At 37.5% G+C, this 20,951-nt stretch overlaps 1 protein-coding gene and 1 long non-coding RNA gene across 9 annotated transcripts in view, besides 2 other annotated features; one reads left to right on the forward strand and one right to left on the reverse strand.

Moving 5' to 3' along the window:
• The window catches only part of MALRD1 (MAM and LDL receptor class A domain containing 1), a 687,552-nt gene that overhangs the window by 662,132 nt on the left and 4,469 nt on the right, over nucleotides 1-20,951 (forward strand). The window lies entirely within an intron of this gene.
• MALRD1-AS1 (MALRD1 antisense RNA 1) lies at nucleotides 1,277-19,492 on the reverse strand. Its single transcript, NR_120646.1, has 5 exons — nucleotides 19,347-19,492; nucleotides 13,272-13,364; nucleotides 13,056-13,167; nucleotides 7,741-7,832; nucleotides 1,277-2,230 (listed from the first exon to the last, which is right to left on the reverse strand). It is a non-coding gene; the product is annotated as an MALRD1 antisense RNA 1 (long non-coding RNA).
• Nucleotides 4,782-5,076: a silencer, noted in NCBI's record as "tiled region #1632; K562 Repressive non-DNase unmatched - State 13:Ctcf". NCBI's record gives its function as "represses a minimal TATA promoter and a strong SV40 promoter by Sharpr-MPRA in K562 cells {active_cell/tissue: K562}" and the evidence as "EXISTENCE:reporter gene assay evidence [ECO:0000049][PMID:27701403]".
• Nucleotides 15,369-15,569: a silencer, noted in NCBI's record as "peak895 fragment used in MPRA reporter construct". NCBI's record gives its function as "represses an SCP1 promoter by STARR-seq MPRAs in K562 erythroleukemia cells {active_cell/tissue: K562}" and the evidence as "EXISTENCE:reporter gene assay evidence [ECO:0000049][PMID:32103011]".

Below are 20,951 nucleotides of genomic sequence, written 5' to 3' on the forward strand. Positions count from 1 at the left end.
TTTCCTAAGCAAAAATATTCATGAAGTCATGGGTTTGATGTGCCATTTAAAAATATTTCCATTATGACTGGGTGCTGTGGCTCATGCCTGTAATCCCAGTGCTTTGGGAGGCCAAGGTGGGAAGACCACTTTAGGCCAGAAGTTCAAGACCAGCTTGGCTAACATGGTGAAACCCCGTCTGTACTAAAAAAAAAAAAAAAAAAAAAAAAATACAAAAATTAGCCAGGCATGGTGGCATGCACCAGCTACTTGGGGGCCTGAGGCAGGGGAATCGCTTGAACCCAGGAGGCAAAGGTTGTAGTGAGCTAAGATTGGAGATTGGCCACTGCACTCTAGCCTGGGTGATAGAGCAAGATTCTGTCTAAATACGTATTATTTTTCATTATACCTTTAATATGAAATTTAACTATGAAATTATAATCTTTGTGTTGCCCAAAGTTAATCTCTTTTATGAGCCATTCACACCCACAACATAATGGGAAATAATAAATTATTTTAAGATCCTTTCCCAGGTCTGAAATTCTATGATTTAAATAGAATATTGAGCTTAGTTCTTTTGGGTCCTAAGTATTCCCTAGTTGCAGTGTAACTTGGCATTAAATCTTTCAGTTCTTAGGGTGTCTGTAATTTGACTGAGTAGTGCTCTACACTTATCTTTGCATTACAACTCCCTGAAAGAGTTAATGCTCATTTTAAAAATTAAAAAGATGCCTAATTTACAATTCATGATTAGATGAGACACTCGGCAACTTTATCTGTGTGCTGGTCTTAACTACACAACTGACTGATGGTTAAAACAACAAAGTCTGGGGCTCATTTGTTGTAATTGTATTTGCTGAAAAACCTCTGGAAAGTAGGGACAGTATTGTGCGTCTTGCATCTTCCCTAACACATTGTGGGAATTTTATAAATAACGTGTTGGGCAGGTGCAAAATCAGAACCTGAGGGAGAAGATCACTTGAGCCCAGGAGTTGGAGACTATAGTGAGCCAATGATCACACCACTGCACTCCAGCCTGGGCAACAAAGCAAAACCCTATCTGAATAACCAAACCAAACCAAACAAAACAAGCAGAGGGACTGTGCTCAGTCATTCCAATATTGCCCTCACTTTAGACTATTTAATTTGGATGTCTATATTTGTGACAGATTCTGCCCCTAAGTTCCTGAAAAGCAGTGTCTGGCAGCTGAAAATGTATTTACCAATGTTACTAACAAGGATATCACTCTTGCATTTTTTTTTTTAGAGAAATGAGTGCATGATGAACCCTTTTTAAAAAAGTAATAATCATATTTATTGATGAAACATGATTTAAAATTTCACGTGTATTTCAAAATGATTTCCTTTTGTAACTAATATCTCATATTTCTTTAATCAATTCCTTGATCATTTAAGATATTATTTGACCATACAAAATCAGTTTACATGCAACATATCAGGAACACATTTATTGAATAATGCACACTTCTTTGGTGTGTATACACATGTTTGTGCGTTGTTATTACTAAGTATCCCAGGTTGTTCTAAATCCATTTTCACTGGACACAAACTCCAAGCAACCTATAGAACAATACAAACTGTATAAAATATATGAAGACTACTTTACTGTATTACGGCTCCATATTCTAATTATTTGGTCTGACAGCTATTTCACCATTATCATTTCGTCAGTATAATATCTCTGTTTGGCAGAGATAGTCCCTGGAGCAATGGTTGTAGCGTTTTTCCACATCCTCCCTCTATTCACAGTAAATCTTACACAGCAAGAAGACAACCTTTCAGTCTCTGACATTGCTGGGTTGCATTGTTTTCTTGTACAAGCAATCAGTGTAGATGAATGTGTTGTAGGCAAATCAAAGATGGCTCTTAAAAGAGGTGACTTGGGTAAATGAAGAAAGACAGTAAAAAGAAGTGAGGTGTTTTATTAGTAGTAAGTTATATAGTTTTCCAATGGCATGTAGCAAATTATTCAGCACTTTTGACTAGTGTGAATCAGTAATGTTACCAAGGGGTAGAAACTTGGGAGGGCGATTGGCTTCTTAATTTTTGTTTAATAATTGCTTTCTTATCTTCCTGATAGATTCTTTTTTGCTTTCAAATCTTCTGTCACATCATTTCTCCTTAAATGCATCCTTAGGGATACTCCTTCCACTTCCACTATCTGTTTATTGTGTTGGGTTTTCAAGCTCACTAATGAATCAAAGTTCTTCAAAGACCAGTTGATTTTCATCTTTTCAAAAAAGAAACACATAAGTCAGAAACTCTTAGCAATTCATTCTTATATTTTTTGACAAACATCTGTTAAGCACCTATTATTTGCTAGTCACTGTGTTAGGGGCTAGGAATATAAGAATAAATAATAGTTTATGCTCTAATGGAGGAGGTATATATAAAAGCAAATAATCTCAATACTGCAATAAGCATATATCAAACATATACAATCACTTCATAGAAAGCACTGGAAAAGGAGAGACAGTCTTTGGTTTGAAGGTAATGATAATATGGAAGGTTGAGAAAGGGTTGGTGCAGAGGTGCTGTATCACTCCAACCTAGACTCATGGATTGAAATCCACCAAGTGTCAAAGAAGAGCACCCCAAAAAATAGAACAGCCTGTGTATATGTGTGTGGCACAGACTGTGACAGGGAATTGTTTCTGAAACACCAGGGGTTTGGTCTAGGCCCTGCTGCTTGCCACACAGAAAGCCAATCACTGAGACAACAAGTATTGCCAGGGAAGAAGGTTTTAATGGGGTTCTGTAGCCAAGGAGATGGGAGATCAGTCTCAAATCCATCTCCCTGACCAATTAAAATCAGGGAGTAGCAGGGAAGAAATATAACCATCTGTGGGAAAACAGGAATTAGAGAGGGGTAAGGAAGAGGAGCTGGTCAAAAGGGGGCAGGTGGTCAGTTGGAAAATTGTAATGGGTGAGGGGTCTGACATCTCATTTTCCAGATCCAGTGGTCTGATGAGTTTCAGGTCCTTGATACTATCTTGGAGGCCTGATGGTTGGTTTCCCAAGAAAGGAACTCAGATAAGACAAATATCAATTTCTATGTTTAGTCAAAGAAACTATAAACATCAGCTCTATGGAACACTTGGGTCAGCTTCAGAATTGCATGGTTACTGTGAATAGAACACAGGTCAGGGATGAAAAAACGGTGAGCAATTGACTAGGAATTTAATAGAGAAAGATCACTTTTAAGAAATCGAATAAAATCCTAATTGTATCTTTGTATGCCTAGAATTTGTTTTTAAATAGGTTATTTTAAAATAACTACAAGAAAATGCAGTTTTATTGCTTTTTGCAATGTTTCCATTGTTCTAAAAGCTGAAATTGTTCATAGATTCAGAACAGTTTAACTAAATGTATTAATAAACCCAAAATGAGATATATGTAAAGGAATTTGTGGATATGCAGGAGTCATAATGAAATAAGACCATTTTTCTAGACAGATTCTTAACATAAGGCTGTTAAGTTTAAATTGTCTAAAAAATAGGAAAAAGGAAGCTGCTAGGTGATTGCTAAGGGAAATCATGAAAGCTGATAATTAACTTCAACATTGAATTAGTTTTCAATCAAACAGATTATGTGTCTCAAAGAACCCAATAAAAAATTATGGTGAGTTTTCATATAGAGCCATTTGTAGGGAAAAAATATTTCCTTATGATCAGAGAAGGTTAGACAGTACCTGGACCTTTCCAACTGTGGAAACTCGGAGATATCACATTCATAAGGGGAAAGGAAGAGAAAAGACTATTTTTAGAAGAGATAGCCAGCAAAAGCATGTTGAATGAAAAATAGAAGTCAACCATGTAAGTCAATATTTACTCATATCCCTGTCAATAGAACAGAGCCACTCAAATGCTGTGTGTTGAAGGAATATCTCTGTTTTTGTTTTTTTGTTTTTTGTTTTGTTTCCAATCCATTATACTCCAATGTTTTGTAAAATATAATAAAAATAATTCTTAGAAACCAGAAATGAAGGGGGGGGTTCCTCTTTCAGCTTTGGAGGAGACCCCCTCCCTCTGTCTCTGTACAGGGGAGCTTCTTTCTTCTACCTTCTTCCTTCTTTCTTGCCTATTAAACTCTCTACTCCTTAAAGCCACACATTAAAAAAAGAAACAGGAAATAAAAAGACACATAAAATATTAGTCCAACTTTCTTATTCTTATCATCAACAGACATAAAATTACTCTGTCAAATTGCTATGAATGTTTCTAAGCATTTATTCTCTGTTCTTATACTTATCTGATCCTGGAACCATATCCAGATAAGACCAAAACCATACATAAACCACACTCTGAGTAGCTCTGTGGTAGGGGATAAGGCATATAGTTGGAGCTCAAATAATGTTTCCTAAGCAAGTTGGAAAATAAAAGACTTTGGCTCTGCCCATGGGAAGTTAATCTTCAAGAGACATGAATGTAAATAAATAGATGCCACTAAGTCCATTTTTCTGGACAGATTCTTACATAGGTTGTCAACTTTTAATTGTCTGAAAAATATTTAAGAAGCAAGTTGCTAGGTGGTTGCTAAGGGCAATCACAAAGACAGCAGTACTGCAATTCATTTTCAACCCAAGAGATTATATGTCTGAGAGAATTTAATAAGGAAAGTAGAGTGAGTTTGCATATAGAGCAATCTAGTTGGAAAAATATTTTATTGCAAGGAGAGAAAGTACTAGACACCCTCATGGTAAAATGCACAATGCACAGTGACGTGCAGAGAAGTGGTCAGTCTGGTTCTGGAGTTAGCAAAGGTTCTGGTCAATGAGAAAGGGATTCAAAAGCAAATCCAAGAGTTAAGAAAAATGTTGAAATGGGAAAAGTCCCTTTATTGCTCTTGCAGAGCATGCAATGGGTGTGTGGGGCTTGCTCCGTCGATGCCCCGCTGCCCAAACCTCTAGGGGGAGCACGCAGACAGGCAAGTTGTGGGGATCCGACCCCATGGCAGTGTCTAGGGTTGAGTTTTTACAGCGTCTCAGTGGGCGTGTGTTATAGTGTGCTCTTTCAGTTTAGCTGTCTGTAGGCAGCTTGTGTTATTCAGCTCCATTAGACCCTCTGCCTCATGGCAAAGACAGAGGGCTTTCTGTTTCCTGGATTCTTGCCTTGGTGTACTGGAAAAATTGGATCACACGTGGGCTTGGAGGATGGCTGCAAGGGTTTTTATTGAGTGGTGGTAGCTCTCAGAAGACGGGGGAGCCAGAAGGGAATGGATTGGGAAAGTGGTTTTCCTCCGGAGTAGGGCTGCCCAGTGGCTGGGCTCCCCTCCAACCACCCTGGCCAAACTCCGCATCGTTCAGCTGGTCAGCCTGCCAGCGTCTACCGGCTTCTGCTGATGTCTGTTTGGGTGTTCTTCCACCAGAGTGTTCCTCTCGACGTCCAGCTGCCTGCATGTCTGTCTGCTAGGGTCTCGGGGTTTTTATACGCACAGGATGGGGGCTTGACAGGCCAGGATGGTCTGGGAAATGCAACATTTGGGCAAGAAAACAAAAATGCTTGTCCTCACCTACGTCCGTGGGCACAGTCCTGGGGGTAGAGCCCTCACCAGGGACCTGCCTTTTCTACCCAGCACTTCCCTGTCCCCCTCCCCGTATCAATGTGACACATCCATAAAAGTGTTGAGTAGTGCTGCAGGGCTAGGAGAAGAGATGATAAAAGACGGGAATCAGCAAAACAGGGAACGTGAAGATCATGAGGCATGCGGATCGCATCTTTTATTTAGGCAAATGGCCTACAAGGTGTGTGGGCAGGGTGGAGATGGGGAGCTCAAGGTGGGGACACAGCTTGTGACCTTTCCAAATTGTGAAACTATCACCCCTACCCTGAGATTCCAGTGCACAACAGGCCCATAAATAGAACTTGGGAAATCCAACTACATGGGTTTAAAATAATTTAAAATGTTAGTTAATCTCATCACCCAGAGTTACATACTGTTAACATTTTGATGTATCTTCTTTTGAACTTTTATCACTGTATAAATATGTACGTGCACTCTTTTCCTCTTAAAATTGAAATTGCTACGAAATTTATTGCTCCTTATTTCCCTATACTGACCATTCTTAAAATTGAAATTGCTACGAAATTTATTGCTCCTTATTTCCCTATACTGACCATTCTCAAACATTTTGGTCTCAACATACCATCACACCTTTAAAACTTATTGAAGACCCCAAAGACTTTTCTTAAGGTGGGTTATACCTATCAAGACTTACCATATAAGAAACTAAACTAAGAAATATTTACAATTATATTTATTAATATATTTTAAAATGACAAGATATCCATTATAACTTATTATGAAAACATATTTGTATATTTAAAGTATATATATAATATTTATCTATATATAAAATGTAACATTCTGTTTAAAAATGACCTTTACCAACTGTGGGGCTTTGAGGTATCACATTTGTTGAAGAAAGTGAGTGAAAAAATATTTCCAGAATAGGTGACTAGCAAAAATTTATTGGAGAAAAGTATATGTTAGCCAAGTAAATAAGTATTTACTCATATTTGAACCCCCAGTGCTTAGTAGAACAAAGCTACTTGTATTACTCCATTTGGACTGCTATAAAGAAATACCTGAGGGTGGGTAATTTATAAAGAAAAGAGATTTGTTTGGCTGGCGGTTCTGCAGGCTGTACAAACAGCATGATGTCGGCATCTGCTTATGGTGAGGCCTCAGGCAACTTACAATCATGGCGGAAGGCAAAGGGGAAACTGGTGCATCACATGACAAGAGTGATTGAGAGAGAGAGGGAGGAGGTGCCATGCTCTTGTAAACAACTAGACCTCTCATGGATTCCTAGAGTGAGAACTCACTCATTACTGCAAGGGCAGCACTAAGCCCTTCATGGGGGATCTGCCCCCATGGCCCAAACACCTCCCAGTAGGCCCACTTTCCAACATTGGAGGTCACATTTCAACAGTAGGCCCACTTTCCAACATTGGAGGTCACATTTCAACATGAGACTTGAAGGGGACAAAACATCCAAATCATATCGCTACTCAAACTAAAACAAACCTTTAGTGAGGGCTAGTGTGGGATTCTTATGTCTACTTCTTCATTAAAGCCATTATCTTGATTTGTTGAAATATATTAAACACATTCAACCTCACACAGATACGTATTTTTTAAAAGGAGGTGGTATGGTTTGGATCTGTGTCCCCACCAAACTTCAGCTCAAATTGTAATCCCCATTGTTGGAGGTGGAGCCTGCTGGGAGGTGATTGAATCATGGGGGTGGAGTTTTCATTAATGGATTAGCACCATCCCCCCCAGTGCTGTTCTACTGATAGTGAGTGAGTTATTGTGAGATCTGGTTGTTTAAAACTGTGTGGCACCTGCCCCAACTCTCTCTTGCTCCTGCCCCAGCCATGGAAGACATGCCTGCTTCCACCTGACTGTATATTTCCTCAGGCATCCCCAGAAACAGAAGCCACTATGCTTCCTGTATAGCCTGCGGAACTGTGAGCCAATCAAACCTCTTTTCTTTATAAATTACCCAGTCTCAGGTATTTCATCATAGCAATGCAAGAATGGAAAAATACAGAAGGTGTATTTTACTAGCTTTTGAGATAATTATTGATACTTTTCTTTTACACCAAAGCTTTACGTGAGGTAGTTTCTTAAAATGCAGTTGTAATGCAGAATCTGAAACCACATCCATAGAATTTTTGAACTGTTACATTAAAAATTCACTGGTCTATTTTTCACTTTGAATGGATCACTTACCTATGTGTGATTTTGTACCATCATGCATGTTACATTTAGAAAATATTGGTTCAGTGATTTATGCAGTATGTCAGATGCTGACCCATTTCATTCTGCAATATAGCAAAAAAACAAAAAACAAAACAAAAAAGAAACCCCTCATCAATCAAGTATTTAAAGTATGGGGAACTTGTCCTACTCATGGTGGACAATACTGATTTTTCAAAATTCTCATTTTTCTTTGGATGTTTCAAGTTTCTCATCAGCAATAGATACTATCAGGTGTTTTATTTGATTTAAGAGCCTTGCTTCACTTGTTTTTATGAAAATGTCTGCCAAATGCCCTAGTGTAAAGAACCATAGTTTTTCTGTCAGTAATTCTTTCAAATACAAGTTCTGCTCCGAGATGAAAAAGTGGCTCATTTAGCATGCAACTCAATCTCAGTGCTTTTCCATAAGACAACACGTGCTTCAGTATTCCACAAAGATGCTTTATATGCATATTTCACAGAATATAAAAATGACTTGTACTAATGACTTGAAAGTTAATATGATTAATAATTTTTGAGGATTTATCAAAGTCATTTTGAGGTATAACTGACTTTACTGGCAGCAGATGGTGATGAAGAAGACAGTGTATAATTTGGCACCATGGCTTTAACTGGTGCTAAGAACTAGTGCTAAGATACCAGCAGTTTTCCCCTCCATAACATCTGGGCCATCAGTGTAAATGTCATCCCAGTAAAAAGTCTGTTATAATAAAAATTCATTAATTTAGCTTGAAATTTCAGTGAATATTTTACCCATGTGTTTTATTATTAATGCGAAAATTAGTTTTGAATTTGTAGATCCTTGGAAGGTGTCTTAGAACCTCCAGAAGTCCAGAGCCCACACTTTGAAAACCACAGCCTGTGTTAGGCCATTTTTGGGTTGCTATAAAGAAATACCTGAGGCTGGGGCTGGGTGCAGTGGCTCACACCTACAATCTCAGCACTTTGGTAGGCCAAGACTGGTGAAACACTTGAGGTCAGGAGTTTAAGACCAGCCTGGCCTACATGGCAAAACCCTGTTTCTACTAAAAATACAAAAATTAGTCAGGCATGGTGGTGCACACTTGTAATTTCAGCTACTTGGGAGGCTGAGACATGAGAATCATTTGGACCCAGGAGGTGGAGGCTGCAGTGAGCCAATATTGCGCCACTGCACTCCAGAGAGATTCTACCTAAATAAATAAATAAATAAATAAATAAATAAAGAGGAAGAAGAAGAGGAAGAAGAAGAGGAAGAAGAAGAAGGAGAGGAATAAGTAGAAGAAGAAGAAGAGGAAGAGGAAGAAGAAGAAGAAGAAGAGGAAGAAGAGGAAGAGGAAGAAGAGGAAGAGGAAAAGAGGAAGAGGAAGAAAGGAAAAAGAAGACGAAGAAGAAGAGGAAGAAGAAGAAGAAGAAGCAACAGCAGCAGCAGCAGCAGCAATACCTGAGGCTGAGGCTGGATAATTTATAAAGAAAAGGGGCTTAGTTGGCTCACAATTCTGCAAGCTGCGTAAGAAGCTTGGTGCCAGCATCTACTCAGCTCCTGTGGAGGAATCAGGGAGCTTTTACTAATGGCAGAAGGCAAAGCAGGAGCAAGCACATCACGTAGCAAGAGCAAGAGCAAAAGAGACCGGAAGGAGGTCCCACACACTTTTAAACAACCAAATCACATGAACTCAACGCAAGAACTCACTCATCACCTAGGCGATGTGGCGCTAAGCCTTTCCTGGGGATCTGCCCCCATGATCCAGTCAGGTCCCACCAGGCTCTACCTCCAATATTAGGGATCGCATTTCATCATGAGATTTGAAGGGGACAGACATCCAAACCATATCACAGCCCTGTACCACTAAACATTCTTTAAAGCATGACTTGAAAAGGTTGAATAATGCTGTGTCAAGTACATGCATCGTCATTTAACCATTCTCCTATTATTAGACATTGAGCTTGCATCTAATTTTTCTAATTTGTGATGAACCTTTTTCTATATATATTTTTGTCTTTCTCTCTAATTATTACCTAAAGACTGACTCCAGTAATTTTACTAGGCCGAGATGGGTTTTTAAAATGTGCTGTTAGGCCAGGCATGGTGGCTCATGCCTTTAATCCCAGTGCTTTGTGAGGCCAAGGCAGGAGGATTGCTTGAGTCTTGGAGCTCGAGGCAACACAGCAAGAGCTCATCTCGGCAGAACAATTTAAAAAAAAAATTAGCTGGTCATGGCGGTACGTGGCTGTAGGGCTAGATACCCAAGAGGCTGAGTAGGGAGGATTGCGTGAGTCCAGGAGGTCAAACTATGATCCCACGACTGCACTCCAACCTGGGCAGCAGAGCAAGACACTGTCCAAATTATATATATATATATACATACATATATATATATATACATACATATATATATATATATACACATACATACATATATATATATATATATATATATATATATATATATGCTATCAAATATATTTCTAAAGGGACTTTCCTGCTAGGCATCTGGTTTCTATTAGGTGGTTGTGAATTTGCTAACACTGCACTTGTGAAGTGGAGTGAAGACGGAGCTCCCATTGGCAGCCTGGGTTTTCTTTAAGATTAAGTTACAGAAACCTGGGTCAGTTTTATTCCTACTAATTGCCTCCATATTCCTGGGCATGTTCCCATTAAAATGCTCTGCCACAGCAAGAGTGCTTAAACAGTGACGGCTTTTGTGGTCAGCATATTTACTTCCTGCCTGAAAAGAGTGGAAGAAAAATAAAGCAGCTGCTGTATCATGTGAATGAGTTTGGCAAAATTTGGTGTTCCAATTGTTTGGTTTTATGACCCTGGGTGATGAATCTTTTCCTCTGCGTTTTGTGGCATTTCTGGTTGTGTTTGCAAATGCAGTTCTTTCTGAACTTTTTCACCCAAACATTTGGTTCAGTTTGTTCCTTAAGGACTTGAAAATGAAAATGTGAGTTCATGGACATTTCTCGTTAATGTATCCTTGCTTTTTCAAATTGGCTTCTTTTCTTTCTTCCTTTTCCTCCAGATTGTTTATTTAAAAAAAAAAAATCATCTTGACAGGAATAGAGACCATTAGATAGTTTACTATTTACATTCTCTTATAATTTCTCTCTCTCTCTCTTTTTATTAGCAGTTGTCAGATAACATGGTATTTTATGGGAGTGTACACTCAATGAGAATAGGTTGACTTCATAGACTCAACTTATTTCTTCTATTACCTTATGACTCTGTGCAATTTTTTTCTACCTGTAGACTTTTATAACAGATCTAATGTGTTACACTGCAATGATGTAAATTATAAGCTTGGTGTTGACTATAAATTATAAGCTTGGTGTTGACTTTTTTATGATAAACATGAACATATGAAAATGCCCCCAAAATCAAATTCTCTAAGGCGTTGTTGTGCTTCAAGATCTCCATAAAATCTCTCCTCCCTCCTTGCCAACACTTTCTGGGTACCTTTTACTGAAGCACATCTTGGCATCGTTTCAGCCTGGTGTTTGAAAAGTATTAGTTGAAACAACCTAGTGTAACCCTTTGCTGATTTTCTAAAATAATGTGGTTAGGGACTTGTTACTTTGTTACATTAGATTACAGTAACAGGATCCACAAAATAAATGCTTTATCTCCTGAGTTAGAGAAGTGCTTCTAAGCATCTGGTTTGTTTGTTTCTTTTTGAAATTATAGCCTGTGTAATTGATTGTCCTGCTTAAATTTGATTTCTAGAATCTTAAAGTCTAAGTTCCATCCTGCCTCTAATAAATATACATACTCCGATGATATCCATTTCACGAACTCTCCGTCTTGTTACCTTTGCCTCAATTCTATTTTCCTGTTCTCAGATTCCCCTTCTCCAACTTCCTACTTCGTATTTGTTTTATGTTCTTTTACTGTGCTATTTTTTTTATAAAATGCTATAAATCTGTCTTTATTACAAAAAGGACAAAATATTGCCTAAAATTAAAATTTATGATTACTTTCCTTGAAAAAACAGTCTGTTCAAACAGGCTAAAAAATGGACGGTAAATGATCAGAGACCAGGTATAAAATAACACTTTAAGGTTTTGAGAAAAGAAAGATGATACATGTGAATCATTTGAGACTGTGAGTTACATAGGAAACACAGGGCACCAATCTCTCATGATTACTGCAAGTTAAAAATGAACAAGTAAACATACCAGAAAACCTATTTCCTTAGGTTATAAAGCCAGGGAAGAAAAAAAAATAAAAGAACATTGCTCATTGATTTTTAGGATGAGATGAAGTTAAAAAAAAAGAAAACAGTACACTGGTTAAGAAACAAACATTTCTAAAAAGATCTCTTCTTGGCAGAGGGAAATATATTTAATGAACATTAAAAATTGGTATAATTAAAAATGGAAACCCCAGAATATCTTATTTTTATTGGAATGCTATATTATATTTTCCTTTTATCTGGAAGATTGGATCTTTGGGAAAGGCTTCAAATTCCGTAAATCTTAAGACTGGAAACATTTGGGAAAAACTAATTGAAGACTTTAAAATGAGAGAGGTAGAAGTAGGGAGAGGAGAATTAGGGTTTACTTCTGTGGGACAACTCAGATTCACCATTAATTATGCTAAACAAAATGTAATGCAATAGGCATGACTCAGAATAAGTGAATTCTATTCCCACCAGTGAAATGATTGTCTTTTATAATTTAGTTGCATCCTTTAAAAAAAAAAAGTCACATTCATTTTTATGGTTAGGAAACATCTCTCCCTAGTAGTAACAAATCACATACTTCACAACCTGAAAATTCACTTGAAGACCTTGATGTTTATTCATAGATGTTCCATACCCCTCATTGTTTAAAAAGAAATACATAGGAAGACCACAGGTCTTTATTTTCAAATATTGTAAAATAGCAAATTAGTACCAAGGTGATTTTTTTCCAGCCATATAGCTTTTTCAGCTTCTCCATAGTAGAAATAGATAGAAAGGCCATGCCTAATCTACTGCACTCTGCTCATCTTCAGGGAAGCCGCCAAGCGGCTCTGGGCTGCCACTTGAGCAGGTGACAAAGGAATGGAAAAAAACAGAGGGCAGAGTTTACTCCTGACCCACTTAATGTCTTGGGCTAAGCGGAACAGGAAGCTACATACAAACATGGCTCTATTAAACAATAGTAAAAAATGAATTGTCTTTCCTCTGTGGGGTTTGAGGAAATATGTTATTGAGGGTGGAAGTAAGCAGAGAGAAGTTAGTGGACTTCATTTCATCACTAAACCTTTAGACTATAGGTAAGTATCGTTATTCTTTCTACAAACATTCAGTTGATTCTTACTGTCTTCTAGGCATTCACAGGGTGCTGTGACAGAGAGATGAGGAAACCAGACATGTTCCTTATCCCTCAGAGAACTTATAGTCTAGTTGGGGAAGAATCTCAGTTGCTCCATCTGTAATAGAAGACAGAGACAAGATGATTGCAAGGGTTCCTGCTAGGCTCTAAATTAATCTATTTTTTTAAATCAAAAGTAATGCTAGGCATGGTGGCTCATACCTGTAATTCCAGTACGTTCAGAGGCTGAGGTGGGAGGATTGCTTGAGGCTAGAAGTTCAAGACCAGCCTGGGCAATATAGTGAGATGTCATCTCTGCAAAAAATTAAAAAATTAGCTGGGTGTGGTAGCACATTCCTGTAGTCCCAGCTAGTCAGAAGGCTGAGGCAGGAGGATCTCTTGAGCCCAGGAGTTGGAGGCTGCTGTGAGCTAGGATCACGCCACTGTATTACGGCCTAGGTGACAGAGCAAGACCATGTCTCTAAAAAAAAAAAAAAAAAAAAAAAAAAAAAGGTGGAAAAAATTTAAAATACTACAGTGATTATTAATTTTGACACCTCCTTATTGTTCTTTATACCAATGTCCTTTCATTTCACAAATTTGGGGGTCAGGAGAAAGAAGCAGGAAGTCTAAAAGAAGATGTAAATGACAAAAGGAGGAAAGCATAAGGAAAGGAGGTGAAGAGAATAGCACTCAACTATCGGTGGGCACCTACTTGTGATAAGCATTTTTATAAACATGTCATTTCATCTAAGAGACAGAAACCAACAGTTGCCACCCTCTGAAAAGCTCTAGAGGTAGGAGCCATATACTAATCAACTTAGTAAGTCTAGGACCCAGTGCAATGTTTAGTACGTAGTATGTGTCCTAGACATGTTGGGTGAATGTCAATAAGTAAGAAAAATGATAAGTAACGTTTAAAAATTCTCTTTCCACCATCTTAAGGGGTGAGTTACCACATTGGAGAGCATCAATTCCTTTCAGGCACTTAACTCATGATGACTGTTTCTCGGATTTTAGGATATTGTCTGACATCTTAGAAACAGTGTTTAGAAATCATTTCACTCATGGAAGCATGAGAACCAATGCCTCCACACACGAAATACAGGGAAAATATCTTTTGATAGATAAATTATTATGTTTATCCATTAACATCATTTGACAGCTGCATTGTAATTATCCTAATTTCAGACAGTATGATTCTTCATACTTTCGAGTGGACAGGTTTTGACACTGAAGTTTTATAACACAATCCACCAAAATACGACAGAAATAATCATCCATGACCCTCACAAATGGTATTCCCTTTCACTTAAAAAAATCTGTGCTAAAGTTTTGAGCTCAGGTCAGGCAAAGTGGCTCACACCCATAATCCCAGTGCTTTAGGAGACCAAGATGAGAGGATTGCTTGAGGTCAGGAGTTTTGAGTTCAAGACCAGACTGGACAATATAGCAAGACCCCATCTCTACAAAAAATTAAAAAAATTAGCCGGGTGTGTTGGCATGCACCTATAGTCCCAGCAACTCAGGAGACCAAGGCAGGAGGATCGCTTGGGCCCAGGAGTTCAAGGCTGCAGTGAGCTATGATCACACCACTGTAAACCAGCCTAGGCAACAGAGTGAGAATGTGTCTCTAAAAATAAAAAATAAAAAAATTTGAACTTTTGAGCTAAGTTTTCTTTGAGTATTTTCTAAGTCTACTTTTAAATATGAACATGTTGCAAGAGTATTACTCCCGTGAGATAGTAGTAGAAACTAGGTGTTTGGTGAATTTCACTAAGCAGCTTGAGCAGTTTTAAAATTAGCCAGGTGTGTTGGCATGCACCTATAGTCCCAGCAACTCAGGGGGCTGAGGCAGGAGGATCGCTTGGGCCCAGGAGTTCAAGGCTGCAGTGAGCTATGATCACACCACTGTATACAAGCCTGGACAACAGAGTGAGACTCTGTCTCTAAAAATAAAAAATAAAAAAATTTAAGCTTTTGAGCTCATTTTTCTTTGAATATTTTCTAAACCTAATTTTAAATATGAACTATTGTAACAGTGTTACTCCCATGAGATGGTAATGGAAACTAGGTGTCCGGTGAGTTTCACTAAGCAGCCTGAGCAGTTTTACAGACACACCAAGTGACTTACTGGTAAATTGGCGGGAGGGGGAAGCACACATCTGTAGTTAACATAAAGAAATTAAATCACCCATTTATCACCAAAAATGGCAATCAATTTAGTAAATAAAGTTAATAGAAAACACTCACTGAAACAAATTATAAAAGTGTATTTTAAAAATTAACAAACTTGCAATGTGTGTAAAAAGATGTTCATTTTGAAGGACAGGCCTCTCAGCAGGAACATTGTGCTGTCACTCTGTCCTAGACACTTCAGCATTCGGAGTGACAGCTAGTCTCACTGTCACCTTTGTTTCCTTTCAACCCAGATAAAGGTTTATTCACTTATCTAGTCCAAAGATGTTCACTTTAAGTGGCAATGAGACTACACCCTGAAACTGTCCAACATTGCCATCATAATTTTCCTATACACTAGCTTTAAATTGTTTACATTAAGGAAGTTTTATAGCCCCACTAAGCTAGGGATAAATGTAGTTATCAAAAATAAACTTTTGCCAGAGGAAATGGGAAAAAAGGAAGTAAAACGCATTCAAATTGGAAAAGAAGACATAAACTTCAGTATTCATAAATGGCATGATACTATATATAAGCAATCTCAAAGAATCCACAAGAAAGCTACTAGAGCAAATAAACAAATTCAGAGAAGTTACAAGGTATAAGAGCAACACTTAAAAATCAGTTGTATTACTACATACCAGCAATGAACAATCAGAAAAGGAATCTTGAAGGCAATTCTGTTGACAATAGCATCTAAAAGAATAAAATACCTGGGAATAAATTTAACCAATGAGGTGAAAGATTTATACACTTAAAATCACAAAGCATTATTGAAAGAAATTAAATAAGACCTAACTAAATGGAATGACACACTAAGTTCATGGAAAGGAGGACAATATTGTCGAGACGTTAATACTAACTAAAGCAACTCATATGGTTTGGCTCCATGTCCCCACCCAAATCTCATCTTGAATTCTAGTTTCCATAATCCCCACAAGCCGTGGGAGGGACCTAGTGGGAGGTAATCTAAGCATGGGGGTGGTTACCCTCATGCTGCTATTCTCAGGATAGTGAGTAAGTTCTCACAAGGTCTGATGGCTTTAGACGGGGCTTTTCCGGCTTTTGCTCTGCACTTCTGGCTGCCACTGTGTGAAGAAGGGCATATTTGCTTCCCCTTCTGCCATGATTGTAAGTTACCTGAGGCCTCCCCAGGCCTGTGGAACTGTGAGTCAATTAAACCTCTTTCCTTTATAAATTACCCAGGCTCAGGTATTTCTTCACAGCAGCATGAGAACAGACTAATACAGCAACCTGCAGATTCAAGGCAATCTCTATCGAAAATTCCAACAGCCATTTTTGCAAAAGTGAAAAACCTCTTCTCAAATTTATAAATTGCAAGGGTACCAAATAGCCAAAACAATGTTGGAGAACTCAAACTTCCAAATTTCAGAATTTACTACAAAAGTACAGTAAACAAAACAGTGTGGTATCGGCATGAGGCATGAGAACAGACATATAGATCAATTGAATTGAACTGAATTGAAAATTCAAATATAATCCTATACATCTGTCATGAATTGATGCTTGACAACAATGCCAAGTCCATCCAATGGGGATCAAATAGTCTCTTCAGTAGATGATATTGGGACAACTGGATTTTGCAATGCAAAAGAATGCAGATGGACCCCCTACTTCACACCACATACAGAAATTAGCTCAAAATGGATCAAGGAGCTACATGTAAGAGCAAAAGCCATAATGCATTTAAAAGAAAACATAGTGGTAAATCTTCATGATCTTGGATTTGGAAATTGATTCTTTCTTAAATATGACACCAAAAGCACAAGCAACAACAAAAAATAAATAAGTAAATTGGACTTTATCAAAATCAAAAACTTTTGTGCAACAAAAGACATTATCAAGAAAGTGAAAAGACAATCTACAAAATGGTAGAAAATATTCAAAAGTACGTATCTGATAAAAGTTTAATATCCAGAATATATAAAAATCCATACAACTTAAGAACAAAAAGACAACCCAATTTCAAAATGGGCAAAGGACTAGAATAGTCATTTCTTCAAAGAAGATTACATATAGTTGAACATAAAAAGATGTTCAACATCACTAGTCATTAGGGAAATGAAAATCAGTACCACAATTACATACCAATTCACATCCACTGAGATAGCAATAATAATAATAATTTAAAAACTGAAAATAACAAGTGTTGATGAGGATGAGGAGAAATAGAAACCCTCACACATTGTTGGTGGGAATGTAAGATGGTGCAGCACTATCAAAAACAGTTTGGCAGTTCCTCAAAAGTTAAAAAAGAGTTACCGTGTGTTCTATCAATTCAACTCCTAGTTATATACCTCGAAGAATCAAAATAGAGACTTAAACAGATATTCATGCAGCAATGTTCCCCATAGCAGTATTCACAATAGTGAAAAGATGGAAACTACCCAAATTTCCATCAACAGGTGAATGAATAAACAAAATGTGACATATACATGCAAGGGAATATTATTCAGCAATAAAAATGATTAAACTTCTGATACATACTACAATATGGATGAATCTTGAAAACATTATGCTAAGTGAAATAAGCCAAACACAAAAGGACAAATACTGTATGATTCCACTTAGGTGAGGTACCTCGAGTCTCATAAAGACAGAAGGTAAATCAGAATTTACCTGGGATTGGTTGGAGGGGAATGGGGTGTTAATGCTCACTGGCCATGGAGCTTCAGTTCAGAGTTATAAAAACATTTTGGAAATAGTGGTAATGGTAGCACAACACTGTGAGTGGAATTAATGGCATTGAATTGTATACTTGAAATGGTTAAAATGGCAAATTTTATGTGATATATACCACTGTTTTAAAAATTAAAAATTAATAAAAGTAACATTACTGAAAACCATTGAATTGTGTACTTTAAGTTTGTGAATTGTATGGCATGTGATTTATAGCTCCATAAAGCTGTTAAAAATAAAAATACAAAATATTCACCTCGAAGTCATGTTTACTGGATGTAACATAGATTGGTTTTTGTTTTATTCTTTTTTTCTCCTTTCCCATTTGTAATAGTTTCAGACTATTATAAACACTTCCATGCTTTTATCAACACTAAAACAATGTTGTCAGTTAATAAGTGAATTCCATTAGAAGTATAAATATGCTCGCTAAATTAAAATTGGAAACTGCCATCAGAATTATCTTAGTTCTGCATTGATCTAGGTCTCTTGTCACACATTCAGAATGCCACTTCGCACAGTATCTGCACGTAATGGATATAAGATAAACTTAATAATAATTTATATGAATGCATGATAAGGGAGAAAAACTTATATGATCCATGCAACTTCCTTTCCTCTACTCAAAATTTCTAAGTCAGTTCCTTTATCATCATTATTCCTAGAGGTGGTTATATTCTTTAGAACCTCAATTCTTACAACTCACTTATTCATTGGGGGAAAAAAAATCAACTGCTTAAGAGCTACCGGCATATTGACAAATACAGTAAGTCAAACATTGCATTTTTTTTTTTTTGGCCTGATGAAGACTCATCATTACACCATTGAGTTTCAGAACTGGCAGGAAACTTTATAATGAAACAAACATTTTATTTCCCTCATGTAAGGATCCACCATTTTAAGTAAAATTGCCTGTGTTTGAATGTCAAATTGACATAGTTGATGAAAATGGAAAATCATAATATTGAACTTGAAATACTAAATGTATAGAGTGACACTAGCAATTTCCTTCATGGAAGAATCTGTGGACGGTGTAATAGTTTACCTTATAAATAAATAGGAAAGACATTAAAATTTAAGTCTAATAGTCCAGGGATTTTCAAGAATGGGAGATATATCTTTAATCTAGGAAAAATAAAAGCAATTTGAGACTACTAAAAAACAAAAGTTGAAGTAGGAAGGATTTGCCATTCCTCACCTTCCAATACTCACACTGAAACCCTTTCTTCTTTTATTACAACTCCACATCCTTACTCTTAAATATCATCTTCCTTCTTTGTAGTTACCCAAATCTTGAAGGCCAGACACCTTCAAATGTTTTTTCATTTTAATAGAAAATTATTTCAGACTTAAAACCCTTTCAGAAGACAAGTAGCTTCAATAATTGAATTAACAGAGCTGAGAATTATATAAATTTACCTGGCTTCTGCCTGCTGACCGTGGTCTGGGTCATCTGGAGTCCCAGCAGTTTAAGACCAAAAATAATTGCTTCATATCAAGATCTTTTGTGTTGCTTCTGCCTCACACCCTTGCAACTGACGGCCAAGCTGGTCCCTTCAGCTCCTGGTTGTATGCTCAGGCTTTGACCATCTGTCCTGTCTAGCCCTGTGGTTTGGGTTTCCTCCTGCTTCCTGATTTCATGCCTGATTTCAGCCTCTTAATTTTTCTGAGCTCTTGGTGTCAGTGTCTGTCTTATCTTTACTTAGTTCCTAATTTCTATTATGTTTTGATCATCCCTACTTCCATGTCCAATTTTTCCTGCTTTGGTATTTTGATGCATTTCAAAACTACACTTCACTCCCTACCCAATCTCAACTCCAAGATCATCCCTGGCTCAGTTCATGCACTAACCATGCTATGTACTGAGATTACTACTCCGAGAATTTAACATAGACTAGTCTTGAATAAAGTAAAGGCAAAGAGTCAAACACAACTTACTCAAATTAATCAGAGCAACTAATAAGCATTCAATTAGTGCTTAAGGAATTAACAGATATTTGTTGACTCAATTCAGACTTTTTTCAATAATAACCCACAAAATAGATGCATATGGCCCTATTCATCAATAAGCAAAATGTACCCGCGGTGAGGGTGAAACATTTAATCTATTGTATATTTAAGCCAGTGGAGATCAGGAAGCTTAAAAGACACTGAATCCACAGGGACAATGTATTGCCAGCCAAACATAATTAGCTAGATTAGACTGTTAGGCTCACTGATGCTGCAGTTTCTTTGAAAAGGACCATGTGGTTTGGTAGATGACAATAGGCAGTTATGCCTATGGCAATTTGTTTTCAGAAATCAAATCAGTAAGAGCCCCCTTCTTGCTACATTTTATTTTGGGATTTAGAATTATATTACTGACAAACATTAATTTTCACTGTATCCTGAATAGGCAAAAAATATACATTATACATACATTATACATTGTGTTATACAATTATCATACATTATATATTTGTTACTCGTGTCATTAAGCTCTTAAAACAATCATCCTGGAATTGGTCTTCCATTCTCCATTGTGTGTGTGTGTGTGTGTACACATGCATGTATAGGATCCTTTCTTATGTGTGTGTGTGTGTACACATGTGTGTATAGGATCCTTTCGTGTGTGTGTGTGTGTGTGTGTATTTAGTTCTTGGTTACTTTTTTTTGTTCCTACGATGGACATTTTTTCTTCATCAGTTGTCACCAAGTAGTCCAGGGCTGCGTGTCTTCTAATAAGTCTATTAATTCTTTTTTTTTTTTTTTTTTTTTTTTTTTTTTTTTGAGACGGAGTCTCGCTCTGTGGCCCAGGCTGGAGTGCAGTGGCGCGATCTCGGCTCACTGCAAGCTCCGCCTCCCGGGTTCACGCCATTCTCCTGCCTCAGCCTCCCAAGTAGCTGGGACTACAGGCGCCCGCCACCACGCCCGGCTAATTTTTTTGTATTTTCAGTAGAGACGGGGTTTCACCGTGTTAGCCAGGATGGTCTCGATCTCCTGACCTCGTGATCCGCCCGCCTCGGCCTCCCGAAGTGCTGGGAT

This window comes from Homo sapiens, chromosome 10 (genome assembly GCF_000001405.40).
Source record: "Homo sapiens chromosome 10, GRCh38.p14 Primary Assembly".
Classification (NCBI taxonomy): Eukaryota; Metazoa; Chordata; class Mammalia; order Primates; family Hominidae; genus Homo; species Homo sapiens.